At 45.0% G+C, this 10026-nt stretch overlaps 1 protein-coding gene across 3 annotated transcripts in view; it reads left to right on the forward strand.

The window, feature by feature from the left end:
• TBL1Y (transducin beta like 1 Y-linked) overlaps nt 1–4249 on the forward strand; it is a 180987-nt gene extending 176738 nt beyond the window's left edge. For all 3 annotated transcript variants that reach the window (NM_033284.2, NM_134259.2, NM_134258.2), the window contains 2 exons: nt 2655–2756; nt 4038–4249. In NM_033284.2, the coding sequence (NP_150600.1) occupies nt 2655–2756; nt 4038–4058 (123 nt within the window). In that variant the 3' untranslated portion in view covers nt 4059–4249. The remainder of the gene's footprint in view (nt 1–2654; nt 2757–4037) is intronic.
• The last annotated feature ends 5777 nt before the right edge of the window (nt 4250–10026 follow it).

Consider the following 10026-nt stretch of genomic DNA (forward strand, 5'->3'; position numbering starts at 1 on the left):
AAGCTCCTGACCCATACGAATCCTTTTAGTAAGGGATGCCTGAACAGCCACTATTCCAGTGTCTCTGGTTCAAAGCAGTGCCCTTGAGGGAGTAGAGCAAGCCCAGGCTTCCCGGACAGACCCAGTAGATGCTGTCCATCTTGCACCCCATGTGGGTTGTGAGCTCTTCCCTCACCAGACACCTCCAGCAGCTCTTCTCCCTAAGGAAGGGCATCGTGTCTGCTGTCCTCAGGGCTCTTGGCCATTTGATTCCAAACCCTCACCTTGGCACATGTTCTTCCTTGAAGGAGCCACTGTCTTCTGTTCACTTTCTGAGCTCATGGCACGATACCTTCCACCTTCCTCTTCCTCTTCTTAGCACTTATCACCAAAATGCTGCTTTCTAGATATTGAGGTTGGAGGGTGGGAGTGGGGGAGCAGCTAACAGGGGTGAGGCCAACTCAACATCCTCCACGCACACCAGCTCCTGCAGCTCCACCATAGAGAAGATCCGGGAGTAGGAAGGAATGTGTGTTTGCTGTTGTCATGCCACTTAGATTTTTCAAATGAAAGTTTCTGTTTGAGTAAGTAAGGTGTGTATGTTGGGTTGTCCTTTTGCCATGGACTGAAAGGACATAGGATTTGAGTGAAGGTGGCTGGCTGCTGTGGGTATCTTGGGCCACACCTGAGGGTAGGAGAATCCCACTAAAAAGAGTAGAAAAAGGGATGGGAACGAGTACTGCACTGCATGAAGGATTGTATAGGGCAGTTTGGAAAGGACTGTACAACACTTCATTTTATTCTGAGAGAGAAGTGATGATGCTCTAGGAGCTATTGAAAATAACCAAGGGGTCCCTTTAATCTTAGGAGGGATCACATGGCCCCTCCCCCATTCATCTGCATTTTCATTTTGGGTGTTTTTGGCTTGGTTGACATTCAGGTGCATTTACATCCTCAAGTTCATTCCCCCTGTGTACTCATGGGTGATGAGCAATGTTCACTGGCAAGGGGTCCACTGAGATCACAGGCTTCCCAGGGACCTCATGTGAACCACATCCTCTCAGGGAAGGAAGGGAAGTGGTGGACCCTGCGTAGAGCCAACCCAATGCCAAGCCCAGCCCCACAGCCCTAGGTAGCCCTCCGGGAAGCATGCATCTCGGGACTAGTGTGCAAGAGTCTCTGTTCATGGAATCCTTGCTAGAAATAGTAATGGGTGGATTTGTGAAAATATGTCAATCATCAAAAAAAAATGATACAATCAGTTAGGAGGAGCTTATCATCAAGAACTCACTGAATCATTTCAGCTGTTTCTTGTAAATCAAGGAAATGCTTAGCGTTTCTCTTAAAAGAAATCTTAAAGCCCACTTTAATGTTCTGTAAGTATAAAAATATCTATCTATAATACTGTTGGTGTGCACCTGTCTTAGTTCAAGACACTACCTTTAAAGAGCCCAGTTGAGAACAGGTTTTGAGACAGCCCTCCTGGTCTTGGTCTTTAGATTTATCCTGCCTGTCACCATTAGTGAATCATGAGTGAAGGCTTATATGACCCTTTCTTCTTTTTTATAAAAACTTTTAAAATTAATTTTTGTACAGACCGGTCTCACCGTGTTGTCCAGGCAGGTCTAGAACTCTTGAGCTCAAGCAATCTTCCTGTCTCAGTCTCCCAAAGGGCTGGGGATTACAGGCATGAGCCACCATACCTGGCCTTATTTGACTCTTTCAAAGCCCTCTATTTTCCTCACCTCTTGAATATGTCAAGTTAATGCTCTTTTAAACCAGAAGCAAAGGTCTGGAATGTTTTCTGTTACACATATGTTACGCAATTTTCTTTCAAACATAAAATTACATTTCAATTTCCAACATGTTAATACATTTAATGATGAATTACTGTCAATTCCCTTGCTGGTAGGTGAATTGTATTCATTCAGGTCAATTGTATTCATTCAGACACCAAGACAGGATTAGATGGGCAAGAGATTTATTGGGAGAAACAGCTGTGATGGAAACAGGGAAAGAGCTAGAGAAGGAAGAACTCAGACCATAAAGTCAGTCTGACCCCTGGCCTTACAGGTCTATAGGAAGTCCGTGAGCTGGCCATGTGTGGTATCTCACACCTGTAATCGCAACACTTTGGGAGGCTGAGGTGGGTGGATCATCTGAGGTTGGGAGTTCGAGACCAGCCTGACCAACGTGGTGAAGCCCCTTTTATACTAAATATACAAAATTAGCTGGGCATGGTCACACATGCTTGTAATCGCAGCTACTTGGGAGGCTGAGGCAGGAGAATCACTTGAACCTGGGAGGTTGAAGTTGCAGTTAGCTGAGATTGCGCCACTGCACTCCAGCCTAGGTGACAGATGACTCCCAGACACCTGTCGAGTTCTCCCACCTCCATCAGTCCTCGCTGGGCACAGTCTCAGAATCCACCCAAATATCTGAATATGATGGTGGATTCTGTGGGCAGTAGTAATCAGATTCACTTCCTGTTGTGGGAAATCCAAAAGACATGTTTCTGCATCCCCCAGAGCACTTATTAAAAACCCTTAAATTTCACCATGCTTGAAAATGTTCATGATCAAATATTAGGGGCAGGAGAAGTGCACATTCCACACCTGCATCTGTTGCAGGTGCCCTTCTCACTATAAGTAATAGTTAGTTACCTTGCCTTGCAGAGTGGAAGTCTCGTCCACAGCTACCAAGGCACTGGCGGTATCTTCGAGGTGTGCTGGAACGCCCGAGGAGATAAAGTGGGCGCCAGCGCGTCTGATGGCTCTGTAAGCAACACCTCTGGTTTACCAGGGAACAGGGTGTTGGGGGAGGGGGATAAGTGAAATCAGGCAGCTGATGCCTAAGTGAAGTCAGGCAGCTGATGCCTAAGTGAGGGGCATGTGTGTTGCTCATGTCCTGAAGGGTCTAGCCCAGTGCTGAGGGAAGCTTTTAGGATGGATCCCATCTGGGAATGGCCTTCTCCTTGTCCCTTCCAGAATGTCCTTCTAATTAACATTTTCTCAGTTAAATTGGTGGTTCTCAACCAAGGTGATTCTGCACCTCTGAGGACATTAGACAATATGTGGAGGAATTTTAAGTTGTCACTGTAGTCATGTGTTGTGTAATGATGGGAGTGTGTTTTGAGAAATGCATCGTTAGGTGCTTTTATCTTTGTCTGAACATCATGGAGTAAACTGACTCAATCCTAAATGATAAGACCTATACACACCTAGGTTGTACAGTAAAGCCTATTGCTCCCAGGCTACATACCTGAACAGCAGGTGACTGTACTGAATACTATAGGCAACTGTAATGCAATGATAAGCATTTGTGCATCTAGACCTATCTAAACAGAAAACATTCAGCAGAAATATGATATAATAATCTTATGGGACTACCGTGTTCTGTGAGGTATGTTGATGGAATGGTCATTATGTGGTACATGACTGCTTAGTTGGGGATGCCACTGGCATCCTGTGGGCAGAGCTCAGTGATGCTACTAAAACTCCTACCATGAACAGGGCAGTCCCAGTTTTCATCCATGCTGAGGCTGAGAAGTCTGGGCCTCTGGTGGCCATCCAGCAGGTCTCCTGGGCACTCTTCTTCTCCCATGGGGCATCTGGATTTTTTATTTGCCCCTGGACTTGAGATTGCCTTTACCTCTGAGGCAACAGCAGTCTGGCTGACTGTCCAGGCATCAGTGTAGCCCCCAAATATCGTCAGAGATCATGTATTTGGGCTTGTGTTGCCATCTGCCCCACAGTTGCAGGTGTCTGTTTTGGGACCCCTGCCAATTGTCTCTCCCACTGTGTTAATTCCTAGAATTGTTCTTAACCTGGCCTTTCTGCTATGTGCTGTTTGCTTTGGTTTGATTGGTCCAATGTCCATATGCCAGTCTGTTATGAGAGCTTCTCTGATCCTTCATAACGATGTTCCAATGAAACTTTACTCACAAAAATTGGTGGAGACCTAGACTGGGCATGAGGGCCGTAGTTTGCTGACCTCTCACTCTAAAGGCATCTTTGGGTTATTTCTGAAGATGACAAGTACTTTGTCTTTCCTTCCAGGTGTGTGTTCTGGATCTGTGAAAGTAAACACAAAATATAGAAAAAAAGAAAAGAATTCTAATGACCTGCCTTGAATGCATGGGGTTGCAGCTCTGTTCAAACACAATTCTATCAGCTCCAAAATGTGTGAACTTGACTTGTGTTAGAGTATATTCTGAAACCAACTTGTCCCAGGCCACAGGAGTGTATATGTTTCATAATCTTTATCAAGAAGTTTGTTGTTTTTTTTTGAGTTGGAGTTTTGCTCTTGTTGCCCAGGCTAGAGTGCAGTGGTGTGATCTCGGCTCAGTGCATCTTCTGCCTCTTGGGTTCAAGTGATTCTCCTGCCTCAGCCTCCCAAGTAGCTGGGATTACAGGCATGCGGACATGACGCTCAGCTAATTTTGTATTTTTAGTAGAGACAGGGTTTTACCATGTTGGTTAGGCTGGTCTCGTACTCCTGACCTCAGGTGATCCACCCACCTTGGCCTGCCAAAATGTGGGATTACAGGTGTGAGCCACCATGCCTGGCCTCAAGAAGTTTTAAAAAGCAAACAAAAACAGAAGCAAATGAACAGTCCTATTAAAGGGGGAGAGAATGGTTTCCACCGAGGACATTTAGCCCAGGAAGCAGCAAGTCAGCAGCTCGAGGTGACGGAAGAGGCTCTGTGATGGCTGGTCAGAAAGAAATTTTAAAAGTTGTGCCAAAAAAAGAGAAGCAAATGCTTCTGATCAAACAGGGAATTAAAAAAAAAAAAAAACACCAGCCCTCTTCCTTGGGGTGTTTTCTGGTTTGTTTTCCTTAACAATCTGGACAGCACCATTGCTCTCACAAAGGATGTGCAAAGACCAGTTTGTATACCAATAAGATGTGCGAGTTTGTAATCCCAACACTTTCCATTTTCCAGCATCTTCTTTGTTGGCTGGTTTTTCTATCAGTTGGAATTCTGTCATCTGGGGCCTTCTTATATCTGAGATGGAAACTGTTTTGCATTTCCTGTCTTTTTCCTCTGTTGCTCCCTGCCCCCCTTCCACCTTTCGATGAGGTCTGGTTTTTCAGTGCACCCTCAAGAGATGCAGCCACATGGACGTGAAGACAAAATCTCCAATGGACAGCTTTCCCCCTTCTCCCCTCTCCCATCCTACCCTTCCCTTGCTCTCTCACGCTCTCTCTCTCTCCCCCTTCCTCTCTCCCCCTTCCCTCCTTCCCTCTGTACCTTTGTCATGGTTGCTTCAGATCTTAGGTGTCAAGGACACACTGGTGCATAATAAGTGCTTTATGTAGAAGGTAGGACAGGGGACTTTTTAACAGAAGAAAAATAATGCCTTATAAGAGAAAAGAGCCTGGAATACTTATAGGAAAAAAAAATTCATGTTAAAGCGATTTTAAAATCCTAAAATGGCCATCAGACAGAAAGAGCTTTGTTTGATTTATGTTTTAAAAAGAACTGAAGAAGCCACAGTTGGGGCTTGAAGGATTCCCTGGCTTTCCCCTCAGTCTCAGGAAAGGTGGTCAGAAAACTCCAGGTGGACAAGGGTTACCCCTAGGGGTCAGCAGTGAGATTGCTCTGTAGCCAGTGAGGGAGGTCCCAGCCATGCCAGTTGGAAGAAGAACCTTGCATCCTTCAGTGTGTGCATACTTTGGCAGCTGTCAGGAAAGCAGTGAAGGACCACATGCTCTCTAGCCTCAAGGGAGTGTTGGCAGAACAAAAAGGTACTGCCGAAGCCCTAGAAACTGACAGCTTGGCTGGATTTGGCCTGTTGGCTACATCTTTGCCACAGCCATGTTATGAGTGATGGTCATTTCTCCAAGAGCTGGCCTGGCTAGTAATTGCAGAGGCTCCTGCATGTCACTTGGTCTAACGATGACAAAAATGAATGTGGAAGGAAGATTTTAGTCCTGGAAGGGAAATATTGACTTAGAATGACACTAACACTTTCTGCCGTCTTTATAATTTCTTTCTCTCATCAAGATTAGGACAAATATATATATATATACACACATATATTTTTAATGAATCTTCGTACTTTTTTTTAAAGAAAATTAAAAATGGTGTTCCTTGAAGGGCTTCATTTCATTGTATCAGGTGACATTTGTCCTCTTATTGTCATAACCCAACACTGACTTATTTTTTTAATTAGCAAGGGCGAAAAGGTATCAAAGACAAAGGCCTCTTCTCCCATTTGTTTTTCCTGTGGGCAGAAGAAGGGCTGAGGAAGTTGGCCTGGCCTGTGGGGGCTGCTTCTTCACTGGCAGTGTTGCAGTCTGCTGCGTGTGTTCCAGGAGTGAGACAGGGTGTTATTGTGAGGGTGGTGTCCATCTGCAGAGCCAAAAATCAGACATCAGGGAAGGGCCAGGGCTTCCTATGGAACTTGGAATTCACCACAACCCCTACAAAAGCCAGAGTCTGTTGATCATTCTAGATCATTGATTGGCCTTTGCTTGGATATGTGAATTATTCAAGCCTCAGAAGACCAAAATATCTGCTTCCAAGGTGAGTATCTTATTTGGGCTGTATTTCCAAAACAGTTAGCAAAGCAGGCCACAGTGATGTAGTGGTTTCACAACACCCATCTTTGAAGGAGCTGGTATCCACAGATGAGGTGATGATTTCCCCTCCCGGGGACTCATTGGGGTTAGGGTATGGTTTGTCAAGGACCAAATGACACTGTCTTTATGCCTCCCAAATAAAAATACATCCATCTCTGCAGAGCATCAGCTGTCAGAGGTCAGCCTGTCATCAGGACATGACTTAGGCTTGACAAACCAGAAACAACTGTGCAATAGTAATGGTGGGATGTGTTGCAAGCGATTCACTAGACAATCTTCACATGAAGGTCAGTAGCCAGGGTCTCTTCCAAGGATTGGCTTTAGTCTGGATGAATTGCTAGGTAGAAGCCTGGTTTGGGAGGCCTTGGACCCCAGGCTCCATCACTGGCTTCTCTAGCCTGAGGCCAGAGAGGTCCTTCCTGTGGCTGCATGCAGGACCAAGCATGAGAATGCAGCTAGCATCCGCCACATCTACCCCAGTTCTCATCAGAACAACACCATGGACAGCTGTTTCCATAGCCTCCAGTGTTTGCACATCACTCCTCACCCTGTGTGCTGCTGGAATGTTAGTAGAGCCATCCCTGTAACCAAGGAATGGCCTGAGCGGAATGCTATTGTTCAATGTTGTTTACAGCTCTTAAAACACAGTGAGGAATGCCTAAGTCATAGAGACCAAATTTGACCTTGAAGGCAGACATGACACACCTTGTCCAAGGGGGACCAAAAGGGTAGGACATTACAGGCTGAAACCCTCTGACCCCTCATGACAATGTAGGACGTGACTTTTGTCTTCTTAAGAAATAGGTCATGGAGCCAAGTGAAGTGCACTTTGTCAAATGTAAGGGTCCGCTTGTTACTCATTTTCTGTTTGTTAACCTTTTTTTCCATCATTTAACAAAAACCAATCTTACATTTCTTGTCAAATGCAGAAATGTTTATTCTGGCAATCAGTGAAGTTTTGCATTGTGTGTCAGATATATAGCCGGACATGTTCTCTGTCCCCATTTTTCAGATTCTGTTCAGATGACATCAACCCATTTCATTCCCCCCACCACCTCACCCTTACACCCTTTGGGAAAAGAAAATCACCTTGTGTGCTGTAGCTCATTTGTTTCAAGACAGAATCAACAGATCATATTTGGCATCATGAATAAATTGCTCTATTTTGATACTGAAGAACTTGGTGGGTGTGCTTTCTTCCTCTCCCTCTGGAGCTCTTAGGCCCATGTTGACACCAGTGAATGAAGACAGAGTTCTGTATTTTCTCCAGAAGGAAATACTTTGCATACCTCTATCCAGGATTGCTGTGTGAGATAGAGAGCAGGGGGCGGAATGCAGTGATGTGGTGTTGACAGCAGCCTCTGGCTGAAAGGTAGGCTTTTTAGTGTGTTTCCTTTTCACTATTTTATTTAGGCTACCTATTGGGAAAAGTTAAAGCAAATGAATGTTCTCTCAGCGGGATGGTTGGTTGGGTTCCCAAATTAGCCATGAGTAATTTGAAGAACCTAAAGTTACAGGATGGGGCAACTTACGGCATGGACTTCTGCACAGTGCAGACCAATATGTGGCAAACATTTACTGACATTTGCTCTGTGCATGTTTCTGTTTATGCCAGTTTAATAGGTGGCTGTTATATAATGTAATTAATTAATGGATATTGATTGCCATCTGCATTCTATGAAGGAGGCAGTAGATTCTAGGAGGTGAAGACATGGCTTACTCTAAGGTTTCACTGTGCAGGTGAGTCAGTCAGTCATTTCCCTCTAATCTTGCTTGTTCCACACAAGGACAAAGCAAATGGCTGGGGGTGCAGAGGCTTTTATGGGTGGTTCCCTGGGAAAGATCTGAGAACCCGCATATCTGAGACAGGCCTCAGTCTCAGTTAATTCAGAAAGTTTATTTTGCCAAGGTTGAGGATGCATGCCTGTGGCAGCCTCAGGAGGTCCTGATGACATTTGTCCAAGGTCATCAGAGCACACTTTGGTTTTATACATTCTAGGGAGACATGAGACATCAACCAACATGTGTAAGATGAACAGTGGTTCAGTCCAGAAAAGGTGGGACAACTTGAAGCACAGGTGAAGCAGGGAGGGGGCTTCCAGGTCATAGGTAGCTAAGAAACAAATAGTTTGCTTAACAAACACTCTTTCCAGTCTGGGTTCTTTGTCTCTGGAGTGTCTCATCCAAGGCATGTTAAGCAAAGCAAGAAGAGGTTATCATTCCCTTCCGGAGAACAGAGAGAGGGAACAGCAGGGACAGAAATGAAGGATATTCATAAGAGCAACCTTCAGGTAGAATGTGAGGTGAATTCTCTGTAGAACGGGGCTTTTGTTAGGAATAGTTACATCCTCATGAAAAAGATACTTATTTAGAGACACTCTGCAGGAAGTAAACAGGTGGGAGTATGCTCTCTTCTGTAACAATATCTGCACATGATGATGATGATAGTCTCACTTTGAAATGGGGTGAAATGAGTAGACTATAAGAAAGTTTTTTAGCCTAGGCAACATAGTGAGACCACATATCTACAAAAAAAATTACTCAGGCATGGTGTCGAGTGCCTGTGATCTCAGCAGGTTGGGAGGCTGAGGTGAGAGGATCATTAAGCCCAGGAGGTTGAGGCTGCCTGCAGTGACCCATGACAAGACCACCACTTTCCTTAATCCTAAGTGACAGAGTGAGATCCTGCCAAACAAAGCAAAACACTTTTTTTATGTTGAGGCAGATAAACTAGGCAGTAAACTAAAATCAAATACAATCCCTCTGATGGAACAGTCATCTTCACTCCAAGCTACACCTCTGTTGTCACCTCCTTCTCACAGGCCAACCTACACTTCTTGCTGTACATTCCAGTTCCCTCATACCTCTTCAAGAACTTTCCTGCAATCATCACCATTACTTTCTCTCCACTCCGTCATTCCTGTAGCACCCCCAAGGTACTCGAGCACCTGCCATCTTCAAAACGTGACTTGAGCACTTGCCATCTTCAAAACAGTAATAACAAAACAAGCCAAATTCTCTGCAGCAAACAGTCTTACAGGGAAGTCACTCAGAACCAAGACTGGCCAGCTTCTCATCTTTTCATGTGTTTGCCCAATTGTCTCCTCATTTCCTGTGTTGCCCTAATACACATCCTGATGATCATTTTTCCATCCCCAGTACGTAGGCTTGGCCCAGTTCCTGTCAAGTCACCTTGACAAGGCATCCAGTCACCCTCTCACTTAGCTGTGCTCTTCAGGTCAAAGCCACATGCATGAGTATCAGCTGGTGATGCTTGGTGTCTCAACTGGGAGTCATCATCTTGGCTGAATAATCGGTTCTCAGCATTCTTGTTGGAGAGCTTCAAAATCCGACTCTGGCTAATGTAAGCCCAAAGGAATAAATGGGCCTGATACTGGCAAGCTTTGAGAAATTGGAGAATGAGGCTCAGAGGGCACACAGACAAGAACTGCCAAAAGC

The sequence above is a fragment of the Homo sapiens genome, chromosome Y, assembly GCF_000001405.40.
Source record: "Homo sapiens chromosome Y, GRCh38.p14 Primary Assembly".
In the NCBI taxonomy this organism is placed as follows: Eukaryota; Metazoa; Chordata; class Mammalia; order Primates; family Hominidae; genus Homo; species Homo sapiens.